This window comes from Homo sapiens, chromosome 8, assembly GCF_000001405.40.
Source record: "Homo sapiens chromosome 8, GRCh38.p14 Primary Assembly".
Lineage (NCBI taxonomy): Eukaryota > Metazoa > Chordata > Mammalia > Primates > Hominidae > Homo > Homo sapiens.
This window is the reverse complement of record NC_000008.11, coordinates 81,472,999-81,497,979: the sequence shown is the minus strand read 5'-3', so window position 1 is coordinate 81,497,979 and position 24,981 is coordinate 81,472,999. Positions and strand designations below refer to the sequence as shown.

General features: G+C 36.2%; 1 protein-coding gene and 1 long non-coding RNA gene across 2 annotated transcripts in view; one reads left to right on the top strand and one right to left on the bottom strand.

The window, feature by feature from the left end:
- Positions 1–24,981, bottom strand: part of LOC101927118 (uncharacterized) — a 117,987-nt gene that overhangs the window by 81,465 nt on the left and 11,541 nt on the right. The gene's annotated exons all lie outside the window — the stretch shown is intronic.
- Positions 14,747–19,561, top strand: FABP4 (fatty acid binding protein 4). The gene is made up of 4 exons (NM_001442.3): positions 14,747–14,885; positions 17,382–17,554; positions 18,465–18,566; positions 19,065–19,561. The coding sequence occupies exons 1-4, from the start codon at positions 14,813–14,815 to the stop codon at positions 19,113–19,115; spliced, it is 399 nt and encodes a 132-aa protein (NP_001433.1). The 5' UTR covers positions 14,747–14,812; the 3' UTR covers positions 19,116–19,561.

Here is a 24,981-nt window from a genome sequence, read left to right as displayed (position 1 = left end):
ATCTGGTTAAGTTGATGGTAGTTTGTCACCATCTGCCATGATCTATTTAGTTTTTGTCAGGGGCTAGACAGGTAAATGGAATAAGAATAGGATAAGGACCACAGTCTCTGCATTCTTAAAATCTTTGGTGGTGATGCCAATACAATCCTTTTAGGAATGCAGTATTATTTATGATTTACCGTCTTGGCTGCTGTGGAGACCAGGGCAGAGGAAATAGCTGAAGGCCCAAGAAACAACAACGAGAAAATCTAAGTAGATGCTTGAATGTGTCCAGTATAGAGGGTGAATATTATAACTGCCAATAAAGTATACATCAGACTATAATTTAGGAAAAATAGAAAGACACCAAGAAAATAAGTTTTCAGTATGGAAGAGAACATAAAAAGTTAACTCTGTTTTGAAGCTGGTTGACTCAGTATCCATGTGACTTTGAACAAGCCATATAACATACTGGGACCCTATGTTCTCATCCATAAAATAAAGAAAATTCATTGGAGGTCAATAACAGCAGCATAATTCCATGATTTTTAAAATTATTTTCTTGATGTCATTATAAAATCTGAGTAATTGAAGGAATCTAGGGGAAGAGTAAAAAGTAGTACATTTATAAACAACAATATACTTTATACTTCATGAAAGAAAAATAACATTTTGGAAAAATTAACTTAAAAATATCAAAAAGTAAAGCCTAAGTACTATGTGTAAAATTATCATATACCTTCTTCTATATATTTAAATGTTTTCATTTGCACTTCCAAATCATATTATTAGACAAGTATCTAACAATTAATATAAATAATGTACTTTTAAAAAGATATGTTCACTGAAGTTTTATGTTCCAGATATTTCTGCAGCTATGACATAATTGTGTTATACTCTGGATTACTATTTCTGTGGTAAGGGTTATTTTAAAATAAAGGCAATACGCTTACTTAAGTAAAAAAACATGAATATGGGAACTGACAGTGTGTCATGGACTTGATTTAAAATAGCCCATGTTCTGGAGTTCAGAGGAACTCAGAAGTATGTCAAAGGGCAAGGGGGAAAAAAAGCCATCCAGAAAGAAGTGAGGACAATGTCCCTTGGTCTGATTTGTGAGAAAGTAAGAATTACATTTGCAGAGTTTGGCAAGACAACTAGGAAAAAGAGCAAGAGCTAGAATAACTTCTTCCAAGTTCCAGGGCAATCAGAAATCAAAACCCCAGAGGGACCTGGAAAAAGGGAAATTTCACTTTGGAATTACTGGGAATGTTTAAGCTCATAGTCTTGCCTGATAATCTTATTAAAAGGATTCTGATTCTTTCCTTTGGCTAAACCAGAAAAGGAAAAGAAATACAGTCTTTAAAATTTGGACATGTTAGGGCAAAGAAAAAAGCATTTCCAATTAGATGTTTTCCCTAAGCCAGAACTCCTTCCTTTCGGAATTTAAGAAATAAATAATTAAGACAATTTAAAGAATATAAATATATTCCAGAGAACATCTTGGAGCAGCAACACAAATATTAAAAATATAGAGTTAAACTTCAATGATTATATGAAAAAGCACAGGCTTCAATGTACAAATGAACTTACAAACTCCACAATTTTTTTGCCAAAACATTAAATTATTTCCCCAGAAAAAAAGGACATAAGAGAAATCCTGAAAAAAATCAATTCTGTCAAAGTAATGCATGATTCTTTACACACACATGCAGTGTTAATCTACTCAGAAATAATCAAGGGGTTCTCTTTATTTGCACTAGATGAAAATGTTGCTACCTAGAATTTTCATTCATTATTATTTAACACTAGTAGCAATTATTAACAGAGATTTTAAAAGACATTTTTAAGCATTTGTATTCATCGATATACCTCTGAAGAACGATTGATATTTTTGTCTGGGCAAACCAAATTATTCTTGGTAGAATTCCTTGCTCTCTGCAATACTAATGATTGGAGGCAGCTTCATCATGCACACAGCCATGGGAGGGTTATGAAAAGGACAGATGGTCCCAAAGGTACACTCTTCGTCTTGGAAATCATAATGTTAGGAAACACAATCAACAGTTTCCTGAAGGTTAAATTAGTTTTTATGCTGGGTTTTCTCTGTTGATTTGCATGTTTAAGGAAGTACTGTACTATTTGTGTATTTATTGCAAATTAGCTCTTAATTTGATTAGGCTACCTAGTTCTCTGACTGATAAACCTGTTCATACAACATTGTCTTTAGTACATGTAGGACACTCTCCAATGAAATGCACTTCAGAGAATCAGCATTAAAAGAGAATTAAAATCACAAGGTCTTTTTATCTCAGAAAAAAATTTAATATTTTAAAATGGTTTCCTATACCTACTATGAGAAAAAAATCACCTGCCTTGAGAGCTATGCAAATTCCCAAGCACACTTTGTAAGGTCTGGTTTTTTTTTTTTTTTTTTTTTTTTTTCTGAGATGGGGTCTTGCTATGTTGGCTAGGCTGGTCTCAAACTCCTGGGCCCAAGTGATCCTCCTGATCAAACTCCTGAGTAGCTAAGATTACAGGTGTGAGCCACCATGCCCTGCTGTAAGGTCTTGAGTGGTCTTGAGAAAGTAGTTATGACTTAGATACAGTCCCAGAAATTTACATGCCTCATTATTTCAGAAGCTGATGAAAATACACAGTCAAAGGTTCTAGACTTCACCTCTCCAATTGAAATTTGAAAAGGTCCCATCATCTGCTCTAAGTCTTTCCAAGAGAAGTTGCTTCAAACTCTTCACTCACACACTTTTTCTTTTAGCAGAAGACCATGAATACTAATGTTTACATATAATGTTACTTATTTTCTCATTCAATTATTTGCCCTTTCCCAAGCTGGGTCCTTGATGATAGATAGCCAGATACTCAGTCTGTCACCAAATATGTGTCGAGTGACTGTTGACTACTGTGAATCAGGGTCTGTACAAGCTTCTGGCTCTTGGTCTAGTACTCAAGTTTGTGTTTTTTAAATCTACTTGCTTTGTGCCCATTTTGGCTATTTCAAGTGATAAGTCCCATTGAAAGCAAGTCCCATTTTAAGCCAGTTCCTCTGAGAGGAAATAGGTCATCTATTGGTAGGAGTTTAAAGAATATGATCTCTTTGGAGGGCACTTTAAAACTTTAAATATATATCAACATTTAAATGTATATAACCATTGGTCCATCAATTCTACCTCTAGCATGAATTATAGCAAAATATTTACACAACTAAACAAAGGTATATATGTACAAGAATGTTTACTAAAACAATTTTTAATAATGAAAAGCTGGAGTATTGGTTAAAACATGGCACCTATGTAAATGGAATACTTGGCAGCAATTTTTTTAAAAAATAAGACATATCTATACCACTGACACGAAAAGATGACCACAGTGTATTACTAAGTGGAGAGGAAGGTTATGGAAAGAGTGTATACATACACAGTCTTGATATTGTGAAAGAAAAATAAATATTGGGGCCCTCAAATCGCTAAGCTAAAGGGAAAAGTCAAGTTGGGAACTGCTCGGGGCAAACCTGCCTACCATTCTATTCAAAGACACCCCTCTGCTCACTGAGATAAATGCATATCTGATTGCCTCCTTTGGAGAGGCTAATCAGAAACTCAAAAGAATGCAACCACTTGTCTTTTATCTACCTATGACCTGGAAGCCCCCTCCCTGCTTAGAGTTGTCCTGCATGTTTGTTTCGAGATGTCCCACCTTTCTGGACCAAACCAATGTTCAACTTACATATATATTGATGGATGTCTCATGCATCCCTAAAATGTATAAAACCAAACTGTGCTCTGGCCACCTTGGGCACATGTCATCAAGACCTCCTAGGCCGGGCGCGGTGGCTCACGCCTGTAATCCCAGCACTATGGGAGGCCGAGGTGGGTGGATCACGAGGTCAGGAGATCGAGACGTTCCTGGCTAAAACTGTGAAACCCCGTCTCTACTAAAAATACAAAAAATTAGCCGGGCGTGGTGGCGGGTGTCTGTAATCCCAGCTACTTGGGAGGCTGAGGCAGAAGAATGGCGTGAACCTGGGAGGCGGAGCTTGCAGTGACCTGAGATCGCGCCACTGCACTCCAGCCTGGGCGACAGAGCGAGACTCCGTCTCAAAATAAAACAAAAACAAAAACAAACAAACAAAAAAAACTCCTGAGGCTGTGTCACGGGCCCGTGTCCTCAACCTTATCAAAATAAACTTTCTAAACTAACTGAGAGCTGTCTCAGATTTTTGGGGTTCACAATATTATCCAATGTCTTTAATAAAATTCATATTCCATGTGTATGTTTGCATATGTATTGAAAAAGACTGAAAAGTGTATTCATGGAATTGTTAAAACTTATGATCACTGAAGAATGACACAATTACTTTCTCTTCTATATAGTTTGAATTTTTGTATCAAGTATATATTAATCTTTAAAATATCAAAAATATTCTCATCTGGAGAAGAAAATTTTCCACTATGAAAAGAGGAGAGTGTTAACATGGTATTATCTCTTAAGAAAAAAAATCTTGTTCTGTGTCATGGATATCAACAAAACTCATTTTGAATTTTATGAATTTCTATAGCTGAGATTGGTCTCAAAATTAAACTTTCACTCCAGAATTATTGCTAAAGAAAGCTCAGTGTTTTGAGAGTTTTGAGACCAAAGATGATGCTCAGAGAGGCTATTCTGCATCAGAGAAAATTTTCTAATTTTTCCCAGCCCAGGACACACAACCCCAAGTTTGTGATTTGTCTTCTAGGACTATATTATTATTATTACTACTATTATTAATATAAGCTGCCACCTGCCGAGTAAGGTATATGTTAAGGAACATATGCAACTATATGCTAAGCAACATGCAAAATACTTGGCATTTAAGATTGCTAATCTAAACAATAGCAATAAAGCATAGTTTTTCAATTTTACAGATGAGAAAGCTGAGTGTCACAGAAATTAACTAGCTTGCCAAAGATCACAAGCTAGTGAATAGTGCCAATCAAATTTCAACATGTCTTAATACCAGAGCTCATGGTTGTTTTATTCCATAACACAGTTTATAAGGCAACCAAGAAAATGTCACAGGTATGTTCATATCCATTGAATATAAGCTTTAATACAATGACAAAGTTGTAAAGGATGATAGTCTCTTCACAGCATAGAATTGCCATCAAGAATCTTGCAGCAGAAGGAATAACATCTAGATGTGGAGAATCTTGGCAAGCCACAGTAATAAATGCAGTAATTTATTCTGCATTTATTCACATTTCACCTAGTGAGAGAGGATTTTCGTCAAGAGGGAAGTTAACACCCAGATGGCAAATGTATTTCACAGATGCCTGACGTTTGTGGTTTCTTACTCGATCAGAGTTCACTGGGGGAAATCTCACAGCAAAAGTGCCTCCCAGAAAGAATACTCAGTGTTTCCTTGTAATCAAAATTGTTCCTGGATGAGCTGCTCCTGTTCTGTCTCTTTATCAGCATCTCATCACAGTTAGTGCCTATTGTGGCATCTGCTGCTATCTGGTGTTTTCATTCCAGCACATGGTTCTCACTTTGTCTGCAAACTTAAGGTACCTGTGTCTTCATCCCAATGTGCCATCTCTCACTTTTCCCCTTCCTCTCTCATTCCTCTTTACTTTTTTTCTCCTTATTTTTCTCTTTCTCCTCTCTAACCTCTTCCCCATTTTTCTCTCTCAAACATTATTTCCCAAGTGTCTACTATGAACCAGAAACTCATGCCTACTGTTTGCCAGAAATGCTCTGCATGTACAACTGCCCCTTCAAGAAGCTCACAGTCTGAGGCCGGATGCGGTGGTTCACGCCTGTAATCCCAGCACTTTGGGAGGCCAAGGTGGGTGGATCACTTTAGGTCAGGAGCTCCAGACCAGCCTGGCCAACATGGTGAAACCCTGTCTCCACTAAAAATACAAAAATGAGCCAGGTGTGGTGGTGCACTCCTGTAATCCCAGTTACTCGGGAGGCGAGGCACAAGAATCGCCTGAACCTGGGAGGCAGAGGCTGCAGTAAGCTGAGATTGTGCCATTGCACTCCAGCTGGGCAACAGAGCAAGACTCTGTCAAAAAAAAAAAAAAAACCCAAGACGCTCATAGTCTGGAGGTCAGAAACATAAGCACATATGGTTATGATGTGCAAAGTGCTATGAGATCACAGAAGAATTATGGCTTTTCAGAGAAATTGAACTAAAATCTCATGTTCCTTAAATCCATTTGCATGTTACACTCTAATAAAGTTTATGATGTGATTAAAAACTGCTTTGCTTATTGATTAAGGAGTTCCAGGCTTTCTGGAAGGAGGAGCACAGATTAATGGGAAGAGTAATGGACTCAGAAAACCTGGATACCTTGAGTCTAGGAGTTCAAGACCAGCTTGGACAACATGATGAAACCCTGTATCTACTAAAGATACAAAAAATTAATCAGGCATGGTGACACATGCCTGTAGTCCCAGCTATTCAGGGAGGCTGAGATGGGAGAATCACCTGAGCCTGGGAAGTCAAGGCTGCAGTGAGCTGAGATCAGCCCAGGCAATTGGAGTGAGACCCTGTCTACAAAAAAAAAGAAGAAGAAGAAGAAAACCTGGTTACTAGGGCAACTCTGCCACTATTGTTTGTCTAACCTTGGTCCATTTTCTCATAAAAAACTAACTTCACTATATATGTATAAAATATCTTCTACCTATAATATTTTGAAATTTCTTGAATTCTAAAGGGTCTGAATGTTTTTAGGACATATATCCACATGAAATAAGATGGTCAACCGGTACAAATATTTTGGAGAGAAATTTGGCAGTACATTTTTAAAGCCTTAAAATATCTATTTATTTGACCCAACATTTTCATTTCCAAAAATGTATCCTATGGATATCATTGGAAATATCTGTTTTGATATTTGCATAGTGATGGTCACTGGGGTACAGTATTCCCTATTGCAGCAAAAAAGCCTTGGAAAAAAACAAGATGTTTTATTGTAAAATATTGATTATACATGGTATATAATACAGTATACATTCAATCAGTGAAGACTTTGGAGTCGTTAAAAATGGTATGGTACCAGTATACTTATGGACACAGAATCATATTCAGAGTACATGGTTGTATTCTCAGTGCCTAGAATACTGCTTGATACATAGTAGATTTTAAATACATTTTATGAATATTCTTTAAGTGAAAAAGTCAATTCTAAACCAGTGTGGACTATAATGCCATTTACAAAATAGTATATTAATATATACAAAAAGTCTGGGGAATGTATATCAAAATGTTCAGTGGTAATTTCTGGATGAGTATTTATTAGTAAATTTTATTTTCAAATCTCCCCACCAATTTCCTAGTCCCACCTCAATCCATTTTCTACTCTTCATCCAAGATATTCTTGGAAAACTCAAATCTGACTATGCTACTACCTCACTAAATTTCCTCAGTTATTCTATAATGCTCTTTAGCTAAATCCACAATATTCAACCTAGCTTGTGAGGCCTTCCTTGCTCTAAACACTAATTCTCTACTACCCCTCATACACATTCTTGCCACTCAGCATTTTTCAATTTGCCATAAGGCGGAGCCTCCCTCATGTTCCCAGACTCCCATTAGGTGCCCCCATAAAATGTTCTGTCTGTGTAGAACAGTACCTCTCTGGCCCCGCTTTTCTCAGCACACTCTGAGCCATCCTTCAGCCTTATTTTGGATGTCAGGGCTTTGGGAAGTCATTGCTGATCCCCTCCACCCTGATCAAGGCTGCATGAGGTACAATTTCACTCCCATAGCATCCTGTGGGGTTTTTTTTGTGTGTTTGTTTTGTTTTGTTGTTTTTTTGAGACGGAGTCTTGCTCTGTCGCCCAGGCTGGAGTGCAGTTGTGCAATCTCAGCTCACTGCAAGCTCCGCCTCCCGGGCTCACGCCATTCTCCTGCTTCAGCCTCCCAAGTAGCTGGGACTACAGGCACCCACCACCACGCTAGGCTAATTTTTTGTATTTTTAGTAGAGATGGGGTTTCACCATGTTAGCCAGGATGGTCTCGATCTCCTGACCTCGTGATCCTCCCGCCTCGGCCTCCCAAAGTGCTGGGATTACAGGAGTGAGCCACCGCGCCCAGCCTTTTTTTTTTTTTTAAACGTATAATCCTTTGACCTCGTAGTGGTCCTCGTGTAGCTTTCCCCACTTGTTTTATTTATCCTTGGACCAGAGCATCAAGCACAGTGACTGGCACTAGGCATTTAGTGAGTACGTGGCTGAATGTCTTCTTTGCATTTAGCTCTATTTGTGTAATTTAAATTACAGAATATGTATGCTATTTTAAAAAGCAGATAAAATGTAAATGGACTGAGATTGGCAAAAGTGAGGCTATGAACAGAAGTTTGGAAGAGACAGGGTATGTTCCTTCCTTGTGGATTGAAAACAATTCTCATAAAAACAAGTAGCAGTTTACATACTATCACAGCTTCGGAGGGCCACACCTGAAATTTTTCCCTTGACTCTGTCACAAACAACACTGGGGAGGGGTCAATCAGGATTTAAATGCAAATACTTACATCTGCCATTTATACCTCAATGCCATTTAAAGTAACCTGATTGATTTTCTCCTATATCAACAATGAACTAGACAGAACTACCACATGTCAGACATAAGCCTTGGGGATACAAGGATGCATAAGACATATCCTCTATCCCCAAAGAGCTCACACCTGGGAATTAGAAGGGGAATAACTTCATGTTACATAAATACAAAGAAGAGAACAAACGTGAAATGTTTACGTGTGTGTGTGTGTGTGTGTGTGTGTGTGTGTGTGTGTGTTTCTGTCTGTCCCCTTGGACATTTTCTAGCGATTTGTTCTCTTTGGCCCACAGTCAGTTCATAGTGAAGCTTGCTTTATTATATAAAGACAAAGTAGGGCATACTACTTTACACTCAGAATGCGCTTTGCCAGCTCTTTTGTTAGCTCCTTCTTGTACCCACTACACTATGTATGAAGAGTCCCTTTAATGAGTAAGAGGGCAAGTGAAGTGTTGGGCAACACTTCAAGGCACAACCTAAGTCTATAATTAGCCTTGAACTGATCCATAGCCTATGGCTTACTCATTCTTTCCAAAACTGTCACCATTTTGAAGTTAGAGTCAAGAGTCAGTGACCACTTACTGTGCAGTAAATGACACACAAACTTGTACAGAGCTACCTTTACTTTGCGTCTTTAACCCAGGGTAGGAAATGTAAAGCAATTCTCATCTTAAATGTTCCCACTAGTCCATGGGGAGAGAGAACCAAATAAAATATGCTTGATTTTCCTGTCGGGGTTTCGTCTTAAAACTCGTAACAAATCCCAAAACATTGGTAATAATAATGCATTCAGAAAGGAACTTTGTTTCAAATAAAAGGAGAGCCTTGGCATGATCCTTAACCTATGACATACATGCTGTGAAAACACTCCCCCTCATCAGGGCTTTGTCCCTACTCCTCATCATCCAGAGAGAGGGTATGTTTCCTCTTCAACCTAAAAATTGTCAGAAAAAATGCTCTCATTTCCTCCAAAAGAAATAAACACAGGCAAAGGTCAGAGGGATGCATTCCATGGAAGCTGTCCATAGGAGAGCAAAGTGCAAGGCAGACGGCCTGAGCCAGGGCTATGAAGCACTGAGGGTCTGGGGCTATGTCCCCAGTCTCCACATCCCCAAAGAAAAGCAAAACTCTGGCTACTGAAGACCCCTTCCCACAGCCCTAAGGAAACATTCTGACCTGGTGTGTGCATGTCTATGCTGTACTGGGGTACGTGTGAATAAAAGTATAGTCACCTCTGTGGGAATTCTTTTCATAGTCAAAGGCAAATTGTCTCCTATGCACCTTGTTTCTGAGTACTAAGCCCCTCCAAAAGGGAAGGAGTGTCCTATGTACTTTCTATATTGTTTCTCAATATCTTTCACTGCTACCCCATTGTCTCATTTCATTGCCCTTGCCCAGCCCCCATCATCTCTTAACTCCTGCCTTGTGAGCAGATTTACATCTGCTCACTCTATCCTTTATAATCCACTCTGCCTAGGGCCACTGTATTCATTGTTCTAAAACTGAAATAGGAGCCCATGGGGGGTTTTAAACACATATACAAGCATTAAGCATGAATATGTAGTTTAAATCCGTATCTTATTCCTTTTGTTAATTATTTATTAATTCAAGTATTTGGTGAAGAACCAGGTGCCAGGAACTTTAAGTCATGCATGGGATAGAGTTTGGGATGGAGAAGGGAAGTCAGGAATGAGGATAGATCGGGAATGGGATGAATGTATCTCTCATCTTGTATACATTACATGCTAATGAAAGGTGATAAAAGTGTAAAAAAAATTGGAAGAGCTACTAGTGCCTTCTGTACAAAATATGCTAATATCAAGAAGACTATCAAAACAAAACACCTTTTAAAATGCTTTGTATGTTATTTTGGTCCCAGGCTGGTAACTAGAATGAGAGCATAGATTACAAAAGAGAGACACAAATTATGTCTTATTTATTATTATATTCCCTTACCCCTATGTAGTACAGTGCCTTAAGCATAACAGGCTTGCAAAAAAAGATTTTTTGTAAATTATTTGCCAGCGTGCACTTTATACAATGAAACTATGTTTGAAAATGCCAATAGTATAATTTCTACTAGTTTTCAAGAAAGGATGACCACCAAAATTTTGGTGAAGTCCAGATTCTCTTCATTAATGCTTAGTGAGGATTTCCTTCACAGAGCATTGAGGCCAAGGTCGTATAATATTGAATTCGTTTTTTCATGTGATTCTTCTTATTTTGTATTGCTTCATTCACATAGCAATCCATCAACATTGTGATGAAAGATGATAGTAATTTGATGAGTGAACATTCCATTTTCTCCATGTCGGCAAGAATAACTCTTAGGTATTAAGATAAAAATAATTTCTTTAGGAGCTGAACAGTTGTTTACATTCCTGTTTATACTGCAGAGCAGGAGTTTTCGGCCTCTGCATTCAATTTCTGGACAGCTTATCATCCAGAAAGAGTTCTCTACCCTACACGAGACAAAACCTAGTGGACCTTTGCATAGTAAGAATATTAGTATTCCACAACATGTTCCATGTGTTTAGGATATACACTGAGCTGCTTTTAAGGGCAATATCTCTCAGGTAAGAAACTCTGCCAAGCCTTGTTACTCTTAACAAGTGATCATATGAAAGGTCTTCCTGTGGACTCAACTACCTTCTCACATCTTACTTCTCTCATTGCTGTTTAAGTTACCAAGATCCTTTACTATAAGTTACTACTATTCTTGTTTATATGAACTCTAAAAGAGCCAATAGTTGTTTCTAGAAAATCTCAACTACGCCATTTCTCCAACGATGATCAGGCACTGAATATGCTGGTATAGAAGATGAGGCTACTGGCCTACAAATACATTCTTCAAGGTTTTTTTTGTTGTTTTTTATAGGCGTGCTGGTGGACTCTCACTAACCCGTCGAAGAAGGATTTCCTTCAGGCGTTTTACTGAATATATAATTACTTTGTATCTAACAATGAATTAATCTGAACAAAAGTCTCTTCCTTAATGGACCTTGGACTTTGCTCACCAGGAACATATATCTGTATATGTCAGGGTGGCTGTGTTTGGGTGAAATTGTTCTGAAAGGTAATGGAACCAGCAGCTCCCGCAGTTTTCTGTCCCGTATACAGTCTCTTTCCTGATCTTCCTGTGGCTGTCTTCTTCTCATCATTCAGCTAACAGCTCAATTATCTACCTTCTTTAACAGACTTTCCCGGATTGCCCCATCTAGTGCTCCAACCCTCACAGTGGTCATTACATCAGAGTACCCCATTCTGTTTGCTCTAAAACACAGCACTACCTGTGATTGGCTTATTTATTTCATATTTCATACACAAGGTCTCTTTGTATATGACCTTCTCCAGTATTAGAATATAAGCTCATTGAGAGCAAGCAAATGCCTGCCCTGGCTGGCTCACTGTTGAATCCGCATTGGTTAGCACAATGCCTGATCACATGTTGAATAAATAAGCGAAGCTTGCTGTTACCATGGTACTCTAAAACTTCACTGCCCAAGAGAAATATAATGTAAGCCACATATATAATCTAAAATTTTCTAGCAGCCACATAAGGAAAGTAAAAAAGAAATAGGTTAAATTAATTTTCGTAATACATTCTATTTAACCTAACATATCGAAAATGTTGTCATTTCAACATGTAATCAATGTAAGAAAATGAATAATATAGGATATATTTGTATATTGTCTTCAAAATCTGGTATATATTTTATACTAACAGTTCATCTCAATTCAGATTCTAAATTTTCTTTTGAAATACTTGTCCAACATTTAGATTTCATAAAATTTACAATTGAAAAAGTAGATTGACATAGCCACATTGGTTCAAACATATTTAAAAGTTTTTCAGTAACTGAATTGAGGATCATTTCTTTCATTTTAATTAAAATTAAGTAAAATTAAAAATTCAATTTCTCAGTCATACTAGCCACATTTTAAGAGCCACATGTGACCGGAGATTACACTACCAGAGAGTCAATCTCTAAAACAATTATTCACAATAAAAAAGTCACGGAATCAACCTAAGTGTCCATCAGTGGATGACTGGATGAAGACAATGTGATATATATTTACCATGGAATACCACTCAGCCATAAAAAGGGATGAGATCATTTCTTTTGCAGCAACATAGGTGAAACTGGAGACCATTATCTTAAGTGAAATAAATCAGAAACAGAAAGTCAAATACCACATATTCTCACTTATAAGTGGGAGCTAAACAATGTGTACACACAGACGTACAGAGTGGCATAATAGACAATTGGAGACTCCAAAAGGTGGGAAGGTGGGAAGGTGGGAGGGGGCAAGGGATAAGAAATTACCTATCAGGGCCGGGCACAGTGGCTCACGCCTGTAATCCCAGCACTTTGGGAGACTGAGGCGAGTGGGTCACCTGAGGTCAGGAGTTCAAGACCAGCCTGGCCAACATGGCGAAACCCTGTCTCTACTAAAAATATGAGAAAAAAAATTATCCAGGCATGTGGTGGGCACCTGTAATCCCCGCTACTAGGGAGGCTGAGGTAGGAGAATCGCTTGAACCTGGGAGGCAGAGGTTGCAGTGAGCCAAGATCGCGCCACTGCATTCCAGCCTGGACAATAAAATCAAAACTCCATCTCAAAAAAAAAAAAAAAAAAGAAAGAAATTACCAATTGAGTACAATATACACTATTTGGGTGATGATTACACTAAAAGTCCAGACTTTATTACAACTCAATATACATATGTAACAAAAATGCACATGTAGTCCGAAATCTATAGAAACAAAAATTTTAAAAAACCAAATTGCAGTGTTAGAATACACATAGTATGTATTCAAATTCAATCATTTAAAAACCTGTAGGAAGCAAATTAATTTAAAACATTATCAAAAACATCCCTCTATTAAGATTTGTCACTTTTATTTACTTTCCATCTGAACAGTCTTATTCAATGGGAAACAGGTGGATCACTAATAGCAAGCCTACCTGGATGGTACATCACCACAGTCTGTGTATCTATGCAACAGTCCAGAGTAGATGAGCGTTATTACTGTGCCATTAACAAATGCAAAACCTAACTTTATCAGGCTTTCATAGCAACTTGCTTTCCTACAGAAAATCCTGTTGCTTACAGAATTTCCTGCCACAAACATTTTTGGGAAGCCCTCAGGACACTTACACAGGCTTGTGAATCAATCACATGCTCAGCAGGTACTGTTCAGTGGGATACACAGTGTAGCGATGCATCACTCTGAAATATTTTAGTTTCTTTTTTTCCCCTAAATCTGGGTATGTTCGTGGGAATTTGCAGCACATGTGAACAACTTCTGTCATTCTTGCATGAGGCAAAGGGAATTGAAAACCACGATTACTTTAGAAAACTAGTTTCACAGATTGGTCACTGTATAAAAGAAGGATATTGGTTTTGGTAGCTTGTGACCACACACCATTTCTGATCTGAATAAATTCAGAACTTATAATACAGTTCAGAAATTGAATGCAGTTTCTCAATATGAGGAAAGTATTTTAGAATAAGGCCTATTTTTCAAAGGATCTGTGGAAATCAATGCTATGCTCTCATTTAGGAGATGGAAAGAGTGAGGTTAAATTATCATTTCGATTAAATCTACAGTCCAGATTACTGGTGGATGAATTGAATGTACTTTTTTATTCATATAAAACATTTGAAATCAGAAATCTGGAGTACTTTTAAATCCCATTATTTATTTTGTTTTAATCGCCAGGTAATTCCTGAGACAGGAGTGTCCCGAAGAGCCTTTGCAATTATGTAAGAATCTCCGAGGCAGTTCTTATGTTCCTCAATTCAAAAGAACCACATAACTGCAATTTAAATAACACCCCACACACACACACAAAATAAGGTCGAAGTTTATCTCAAAATAATTTCCCCTCTCTACACTGGGATAAATATGTATAGGAATAATAGGGGGAAATTCAGTGCACTGAGCATTAAGCTGTCAAAACAGGAATGTTTAAAATATCCTGTTAGTGGTTTAAAAATAATTTGTACTCTAAGTCCAGTGACTATTTGCCAGGGAGAACCAAAGTTGAGAAATTTCTATTAAAAACATGACTCAGAGAAAAAAATGCAGAGGCCGGTAATGAAGGAAATGATTGGATCTCATTCCCAATTGGTCATTCCTAAGATCACATGTTCTGAGCATCTTTAAAAGGAAGTTATCTGGACTCAAGAGGGTCACAGCACCCTCCTGAAAACTGCAGCTTCCTTCTCACCTTGAAGAATAATCCTAGAAAACTCACAAAATGTGTGATGCTTTTGTAGGTACCTGGAAACTTGTCTCCAGTGAAAACTTTGATGATTATATGAAAGAAGTAGGTAAGGAAATGCGTTGTGGAATGACTGGATTTATAATATTTTCTTTTGGGAAAAAGAGTTTACAGCTGTGTTTATAGCAATGTCTGGAAGCCCTGGCCAGAAATGAAAAATGCTGCTTTCTATAGAGAGGCTGCACACATAGCAAGTGATAATCATTTGTTTCTAGAGAAATTCTGAACCAAAGCTACAACTAATGTTTCCTAAAGGTGTACCAATATAAAAAGGTGTCTAAATGGAATGTTTATTGTCTTTAGAAATGATAAGATTTGACTTTATTTGAAAAACTTGGGTATCCTTGGTTTACTTAGCTCTTTGCCTGTTTCTCTTTCATCCCCTTTTGCATGTAAATTAAGCAATAACTTGGAAAAAAGTTAGTATGCAATAATTTTCATTTCAAACTGAAAGCACTCTAGTTCCCTTAATGCAAGGTTCTTTTTCAGTAACCGTATGTTAGCCAATTATTTTCTTGTCTCAATGTTAATCTATTAAAATATGTGGTTGTTTTATGATAGACAAAAATTTTAATTTCAGAAAATATGTTTCTTAAATGGCTTAAATACTTCCTTTGACTAGAAATGACATAGTATGCCATAGAATTATCAACCAATTTAAAAGGAGAATGTTACGCATATAACATACCTCTTCTTTGATAGTAGAGGTTTTTAATTTTTTAGACGCTGTTAACTGTCAGCATGTCATTGGATGAATGTCTCTCAGATAACTATGGAGGTAAATCAGAAAAGACAACTTCTCACTCAGGCAGCTTCTACTTTGAAAACCTTTCTCCCTCAACCCCATGCATGACAGTCCAATAAAGTCAGAACTGGGGTTAGCAAACTGGGGAGGAATTTTATGCAATCTTAGGGTTTAGAATGTAATCATTAAATCGCAAAACACTTAACCCTCCTGTAAATTATACAGTATATATTTTTTTGCTTGTCTGTAACTATGTTTCTTGTTTTTAGATGATAGGGAAATTGGTGACTTCAGCATGAGAGAGACTTTCTAGAATAAACTAGAGTGATTCAATAAACTAATTAATATGCACTGATGCAGAAAAGCCAGGATTTGGGGCCATTTAACTATTTATTTTTAGAAAAATGTTATACTTTTAATATTTATATTTTCTAATAATACTGTGTTTTTAAATTATAAAGGGCTGATTATAATTAAAGTCAATAAAACACCTTCTGCATGAAATTAGCTGCTGTAATTGAGGATGAGTGGGCAGGTATTGTCTTCATCATCAAATAAAAGCAAAATCAAGCAAATGGAGACTGGTTTTTCCCAAGGTCAGTCATTCTAGAATCACACTCAGTTTTGCCTGCATTCACGAAGTGGACTCACTTCATACATTTAATGTTATATTTTGTAACTGAGCCAGGACATGAAGACACACCTGTGGCCATTTTTCAGACAGACAGCCAAATCGGAGCCTCAGCATTACTTATTTTGCGCCATATATCTCTCCCAGTTCTTCCCAATTTCTAACCTTTGGTTGCCTTTAGTCAAAGAAAGAGCTTAGATTTACATGCACATGTTTAAAAAATTCAGCAAATCTATGACTGCCATAAACTCTGCATGACATACACAGTGTCAGCAAGTTACTGCTATGTTAGGCTGTAAATTATTCATTCCATACCTTGCACAAGAAAATATATTCCCCTTTTTAAGAAAGAAAAGTTCACAACTTAGGTGACTGGAAATCAAAGTATTGGCTTCTAACCTATTTTAAACTAAGAAATAGTGATTTATTAAATGTTAAAGTTTTCACAATTTGATGACTAGTCCCTTTTAAATATCCCCTATAAATTATTAGCAATGATATCACCATTCTAAAATGTTATAAATGTAGGAAACATTTTGCCTTTTGTAGAAATTCATGAAAATCTTCATTTCATGGTGGAGTAATTTGAGAAAGAAGCACAGAAAAGTAGACTTGGCAACAAATGCTATGAAATGTGACTTTTGTATACTCAAAACAGACGAACCTTTAACTAAATAACTCTACATTAACCCCCAAAATTCTGTTGAAAATTCTGTCTTTGTGCCTTCTTAAATGTAATATTGAGTATCTAAGATGGAATGGTCAAGTAGCCTCAAGTATTTTATTAAGAGAGAAAAATAACAGTGGCTAACATTTTAAATATATATCTTCCCAACCACTTAACCTTTATACATATTTTTGTTGAAAATAAACAATGGGTCTCCTGAGAAGTTGTATCCAGACCAGAGAAAGGGAAGTTTAAAGAATAGGCCTACACCTATTGTTTCTCAGAGGTTGTGTTTTTGTTTTCTTTGTGGGTTTTCTTTTTTTTTTTTTTTTAAGTATTGGCCTGATTTTATCTGCAGGAGCTGTTTAAATTAGGCCTTTAAGAAACTCTCTGTGCCTTTTTCCTCCTGCACATGCACCTGTGTGCACACACACATTCTCTGACTTGGATAAGTACGTGAGAGAAAATGTAAATCTGACATCTTTTCTTTTCCTAACTGTAGGAGTGGGCTTTGCCACCAGGAAAGTGGCTGGCATGGCCAAACCTAACATGATCATCAGTGTGAATGGGGATGTGATCACCATTAAATCTGAAAGTACCTTTAAAAATACTGAGATTTCCTTCATACTGGGCCAGGAATTTGACGAAGTCACTGCAGATGACAGGAAAGTCAAGGTGAGAAATAAGGAAGTGGCACAGAGTACATGCCTGGTTTCTAAATCACCACTGCTATAAGAAATCATTTTATGATAAAAGGAGGAACACCATTTTATCATAAGCCAAAGATCCCTGAACTCCTACATCTAAACTGTGTTTCCTTAGATATAGAGTTGGTGAATTTTTCCCCATTTTATTAAGTTGTCCTCATGTTAAAAAAGTATTATTATTTTTAGAGACATGTTCTCACTCTGTCAAACAGGCTGCGGTGACATGGCACAATCATAGCTCACTACAGCCTCGAATTCCTGGGTTCAAGTGTTTCTCCCACTTCAGCCTCCTGAGTAGCTGGTAATACAGCTGTGTGCCATCACACCCAGCTAATTTCTTAATTTTTTTGTAGAGACAGAGTTTTACTATGTTGCCCAGGCTGGTCTCGAACTCCTGGCCTCAAGCAATCCTCCTGCCTTGGCCTCCCTAAATGCTGGAATTACAGTTGTGAGCCACCACACCTGGCCTGTCTCCAAATTAACAAAAAAATTATTAACATAATTTATTTGAGTCATACAATACATAGAGTATTTCAAGTGAATTAAAATACTATAACAATGTAAGAGAATGTTTATAAAAATGGAAGAAAGAAATAGAAAAACCACCCATACTACTACCATCGCAATGTAAATTTCTTTTTCATATTCCTTCACAGTAATTTTTCCAATTATGTAATTTGTATAACACTCTGGACATAACGTATCCATAAGTGGTTATGTTGTTGTTTTTGAGACTCATTTTTTTTCTTGTTGCAATATATTCTTGTCATTTAGAATTACTAATGACCTCAAAATATTCCTTTGAACAAAGGCACTCTATTTTAAATTTTTTTCTGCCTCCCTCTGCACATTGTCATTACATTTTCTTATGCCTACAGAGCACCATAACCTTAGATGGGGGTGTCCTGGTACATGTGCAGAAATGGGATGGAAAATCAACCACCATAAAGAGAAAACGAGAGGATGATAAACTGGTGGTGGTGAGTATCTTCTAGCTACTTAATTCTGGATCTTACTGCTAGGTTATCTCATGATCACTATTCCACTTAAGGAAACAGATTTTCCTTTTGATTATCTGAAACAAAAAGAGGATTTTATTGGAATTATGCTTCCACTCTGGCATTTGCCCTTCATGCTTTTGAGTTCAACAAAGGCATGCTGTCTTCTAGGAAGCATTCTCTGCCTGCTTCCAGGCATCCTAAGGCTGTCTCCAGTGGTACCTCCACCATATTGTATTACCTATCTCTGCTTATGTTTCTCAGTCACCATACAGATTTTAAGGCACCTGGAGGGGAAAACTTGTATTTTCCTGGTCTTTATATCTCCCTATCTTATTACAATATATGGGTTACATATATAGGAGTCCAGAAATGAATATCTTTGGAATGAATATTGTTTTATTCCCAACATTCAGAGAGACAATAAATAAATCCATGGTTTAATCCAGTGATTGACCAAGAATTGTTTTTTGTGTCTAGGAATGCGTCATGAAAGGCGTCACTTCCACGAGAGTTTATGAGAGAGCATAAGCCAAGGGACGTTGACCTGGACTGAAGTTCGCATTGAACTCTACAACATTCTGTGGGATATATTGTTCAAAAAGATATTGTTGTTTTCCATGATTTAGCAAGCAACTAATTTTCTCCCAAGCTGATTTTATTCAATATGGTTACGTTGGTTAAATAAACTTTTTTTAGATTTAGAAGGTGATGTAATGATGTATTCATTGTGCTTATGATGTATTCTTAGTCATAACTGAGTGAAGGAAATGGGAAATTTGCATTATTTCTTTGTTCTGATATGAATAATAACATATTTCATAATAATTCAAGGTAAAAAGGGATATCTATGGATTTCCCTAGGTAGGAGATAACAAGTATGTACCATTACTGAATATTAAATCCTTCTTTACCATAGCTACAGTTAAGTAGGTGTATCTCAGAAACCTAAGGTAGTTTTAAATGTAGTGAAATTGTCCACAGCAAGCTGGCCCAAGTGCTCACATTTTATACCCGCTCTGTCTTAGTGCGTTGCAAGAGAGGAGTATATACAGTAGTTCCCCCTTATCCACAGGGGTACATTCTAAGACCCCCGGTGGGTGACTGAAACCACAGATAGTACCGAATCTTATACATACTATGTTTTTTTTCTAAACATAAATACCTACAATAAAGTTTAATTTTTAAATTAGGCACCATAATTAATAATAAAACAGAACAGTTATAACAATATACTATAATAAAATTATGTGTATGTGATCTCTCTTTCTCTCTCCCTCTCAAAATATTTTTAATATCTCTCCAGAATTCAGTGCAAATAATTCCATCATACTCACTTCAGAAAAGTGAAGATAGTCTTGTACATGAGTAGATTCAAATTTTATTGTCGTGGTTTCCAAAGTTTTATTTTTCTCACCAATGGAACTTTTGATTCAAATAAAATATCCAAGGGATTTCAGCTTATAAAACACACAAAATTGATAATGAGTTTTCCAAGGTACTGTGTGTGTGAATGTGTATGTCTGTGTATGTGTGTGTCGTCTGTATGTTTTTCCCACCTCTTGTAGAAGCTACGAAGCACCTTTCCATATTATTGAGGTTTCCTGTACGTAGACTGAAATTTACAAATCACATGCTTACATTTTATAGTAAGACAAAATCTGCCAAAGTGTATATTGCTGTTGATATAATTCTGTTTGTGATTCTCTCTTTAAAAATAAATCCAAAGGTTTTCATTTCCTGCATACTTATCCTATGCATAACACCATGATATGCAGAGGCCAGAAGAGATGGACTAGTTCACTGACCATAAGAATTTACTGTTTTTATAAAAACATAGAGTTAGACTCTCACTTTGGGTTTGAGGAACTTAAATATAGAAGATGTATAAGCATTGATAAGGACAATTCTTGGTAAACAAATGTTTATTAAGTACTAATGATGGTGCCAGGCACTTTGCAAGCTTTAAATCATTTGTCATCAAAATAATCTGATGGGAGGATTTGGATTTCTGTTTACAGATAAAGAAATTGAGGCACAGAGCTAAACATCATAAAACTGAGTAAGAAATAGATATAAGAATCTGAAATTCAAGAGAGCTATCCTGTCTTGAATATAGACCTGGAAGCCATAAGTGCCCAAGTGGTAACTTCATTCAGAAAATGTGATAAAGTCAATTTGAAGAGGGTTCTGGAAGATGGCAGAGTAGGATGAACAGGAATTTGTCTTCCTACCTAGACAAAAAATGCACTGGCAGAATCTGTCTAACGTATCTATTTTGAAACTCTGAAATCTATTGAATCCTTGCAAAATTCAGGGGAAGTCTTAGATGATAAGTTGCAGTTAATTTTGGTCAATTTCAGCTCTTAACCCAGTTGCAGATACTCATACCCACCCACAACCCTCATAGGAGGCCACTCTGCACATGTTCCTGGAGCAGCTTGCAGTCATCTTGCAGGAACTAGGATGGGCAATAAGAACCAAGTTTTCCAAATGTTATGGATCTGTGTTTTGATTGATGATTGCTGCTTCTGATCACAAAGTGCAGACACATTGGCCAGCAGCTATTGTTGCACACACACACACACACACACACACACACACAACACCCCTTATTGTTGTAAGTCATTTCTTCTTGGGCTGAAGCAGCTTCCAGTGTATTTAAAAAGTCAGCTCCTTCCCTACTTCCCACATCATATTTTTTTTCTTTTTTCTTTTTAGGATCCAGACATTAAAGACTAGGACATTCAAGCAACCACATGTATGAGGAAAATTAAAAAGTCAGTATGCATACGTAGGGAAGTCACAGGCTCAGAAAGAACCTGAGAAGACCTTAAGTTTATTCCTTAGGCTAACTCTGGAGATAGATAGCCTACAACAATAAAAAATTAAACAAAACAAAAACAGCAATTCCTCAGGTGGGGAAGAATCTGATTACCAGAGTTATCACAATATTAGATTCAGATATTCAGTTTGCAACAAAAAAACACAAGACATACAAAGAAATGGGAAAGTATGACCCATTCAAAAAATAAATTAATATACCAACAGAAACTCTTCCTGAGAAAGACCAGATGGTAACCTATTTGACAAAGACTTTAAAATTACTTCCTTAAATATGCTCAAAGAATTAAAGGATGACGTAGAGAAAGTCAAGAAAATGAGGAATAGACAAAATGAAAATATCAGTAAATAAATAGAAAACCAAAAAGGAAACCAATGGAAAATCTAGAGCTGAAAAGCACAACAATGGAAATAAAAAAATCCACTAGCAGGATTCAAAGACATATTTGAGCAGATAGCAAAAAGAATCAGTGCAATGAAAATTATTGAGTTTGAGGAACATTTAAAAAAATTCAAGAAAAATGAACAGAGCCTAAGGAACATTTGAGACACCATCAAGCAGACCAACATATGCATTGAGAGAGTCTCAGAAGGAGAAGAGAGAAAAAGAGTCAGAGAGAATAAGAAATTATGACCAAAAACTTCCCAAATTTGGTGAAAGGCATGACTATAAACATCAAAGAAGCTCAACAAATTTCAACTAGAATGAACTCAAAGAGACCCATACTGAGATACATTCTAATCAAACTTAAAAAGTCAAAGACAAACAGAGAATCTTGAAAGCAGCAAGAGAGAAGCAACTCACCATATTCAAGGGATTTTTAATAAGATTATCAGCAGATTTTTTATTGGAAACTTTGGATGTCAGAAGGCATTAGACTGATAATATATTCAAAATGCTAAAATTAAAAAAAGTCTATTAACCAAGAATCCTGTATTAGGCAAAACCATCTTTCAAAGTGAAGGTGCAATTAAGACTTTCCCAGAAAAACAAAAGCTGAAGGAGTTTGTTACTCTTAGACCTACCTTACGAGATGCCCTACAAATGCTAAAGGAAGTCCTACAGGTTGAAATGAAAGGACACTCCATAGTAACTTAAAGCCATATGAAGAAATAAAGATCTCAATAAAGGTAAATATGTGAGCAATTCTAAAATCTAGTATTGTAGTAACAACAGTTTGTAAATCCACTTTTTATTTTCTACATTATTTAAAAGACGAATATATTTTTAGTCTAAAACTAAAAATATTTAGATTTTTAGCCTAAAAACTAGTATTATTTTAGCTTTGGTTTGTGACTCTATATTTTGTTTTTTACATAAAGAAACGGATGCATTTTTAAAATGATGATTTTTGTGTTTGGACATACAATGTATGAAGTTGTAATTTTGTGACATGAATAATTGAACCAGATAGGACAGAATTGTAAAGAAGCAGCATGTTTGTATGTTACTGAAGTTAAATTGGTATAAATTCAAATTAGAGTGTTATAACTTTAGGGTGTTAAATGTAATCCCCATGGTAACCAGAAAAATATAGCTATAGAATATACACAAAAAGGAATAAGAAGCAAATTAAAGTGTTCACTATAAAACAACCAAGTAAACACAAAACAAGACAGTAATGCAGAAGACGAAATACAAAAAGCTATAATGCATATAGTAAACAAACAACAAATGACAGAAGTAAGTGAATGGATTAAACTCTCCAATCAAAAGGTAGAGATTGTCAGAATAAAGTTTTAAAAAATGATCCAACTGTACACTGTCTACGAGAGACTTATTTTAGACCCAAAGACAAAAATAGATTGATAGTAAAAGAATGGAAAAATAAATTTCATGTAAATGGTAACCAAAAGAGAACAGGGGTTGGTATAATAATATCAGATGAAATAGACTTTAAATTAAAAAAAAAAATTACACACAAGAGACAAAGAAGGGCAATGTATATTGTTTCAATACATCAAGAAAGTATAACAATTATAAACATTTACTCACCTAATGACAATAAAAAACATAAGCAAAACCAAACAGAAAAACAAACAGTTCTACAGTAATAGTTGGAGATTTCAATAATACTCTCCCCCTCCAACCCCCATGGATAAAACCAGACAGAAGACAAGTAAATAAACAGAGGATTTAAACAACACAATAAACCAACTAGATACAACAGACATACATAGAACATTCCACCAAATAACAGCAGCATACATATTCTTCTTAACTGTAAATGGAACATTTTCCAAGATAGACCATATGTTAGGCCACAAACTAAGTCTCAATAGATGTTATAGGATAGAAAATATCCACAGTTTCCTCATGAAGTCAATAACAAGTAAAACTAAAAAATTCACAAAATTGTGTAAATTAAGCAATACTCTTAAAAAACCTTTTATTTTAAGTTCAAGGGTACAAGTTCAAGTTTGATACACAAGTAAATTTGTGTTATTGGGGTTTGTTGAACAGATTATTTCATTAGCTAGATATTACGCCTAGTACTCATTAGTTATTTTTCCTGATCTTCTTTCTTCTCTCACCCTCCACCCTCTGAAATTCCCCAGTGTGTTGTTCCCCTATATGTGTCCATATGCAACACACTTTTAATAAGTGGATCAAAGAATTAATCAAAAGGGAAGTGTGAAAACACTTAGAATTGAATAAAAATGAAAACACAACATACTAAAACTTATGGGGTACAGTGAAAGTAGTGCTCAGGAGGAAATGTAGAGCTATAAATACTTAAATTAGCAAACAAGAAAGATCTCAAATAAAAAATGCAACTTTACAACTTAATGAACTGAGAAACAACAAAATAAACTCAAAGCTAGCAGAAGTCAGAAAATAATAAAAATTGGAGCAGAGATATACAAAAGAGAGATAGAGAAAACAGTAGAAAAAATCAATGAAACCAAGTTAATTCTTTGAAAATATTTAAAAAAAAAATTGACAGAGCCAGGTGCAGTGGCTCATGCATGTAATCCCAGCACCCTGGGAGGCCGAGGTGGGCAGATCACTTGAGGTCAGGAGTTTGAAACCAGCCTGGCCAACATGGCGAAATGCCATCTTTACCAAAAATACTAAAATTAGCCAGGTATGGAGGCACACACCTGTAGTCCCAGCTACTCGGGAGGCTAAGGCTGGACAATCGCTTGAACCCGGGAGGCAGAGGTTGCAGTGAACTGAGATTATGCCATTGCACTCTAGGCTGTGTGACAGCAAGACTCCATCTCAAAAAAAAAAAAAAAAAAAAAATTGACAGACATAAATGGACTAAGAATGAAAAAGAGGGAAAACTCAAATTATTAAAATCAGAAATGGAAGTTAGTATATTACTACCAATTCTACAGAAATAAAAATAATTAGAAGAAAGAACTATAAAAAATTGTACACAAATGAAATAACCTTACGAAATGGACAGATTTTGAGAAACACAAAACTTATCAAGACTAAATTATAAAGAAATAAATTTAAAAATCTGAATAGACCTATAGCTAGCAAGGAAATTTAATCAAAAAAATCTTTCAATAAAGAAAATCCCTTGACCTCCTGTCTTCA

Bases quoted from the DNA above. Each gene is read 5' to 3' on its own strand.
- FABP4 (NM_001442.3), top strand. From the start codon at position 14,813: ATGTGTGATGCTTTTGTAGGTACCTGGAAACTTGTCTCCAGTGAAAAC. The intron at 14,886-17,381 runs GTAAGGAAATGC...TCCTAACTGTAG, and splicing joins TGATTATATGAAAGAAGTAG to GAGTGGGCTTTGCCACCAGG. The intron at 18,567-19,064 runs GTGAGTATCTTC...TTTTGTGTCTAG, and splicing joins AGGATGATAAACTGGTGGTG to GAATGCGTCATGAAAGGCGT.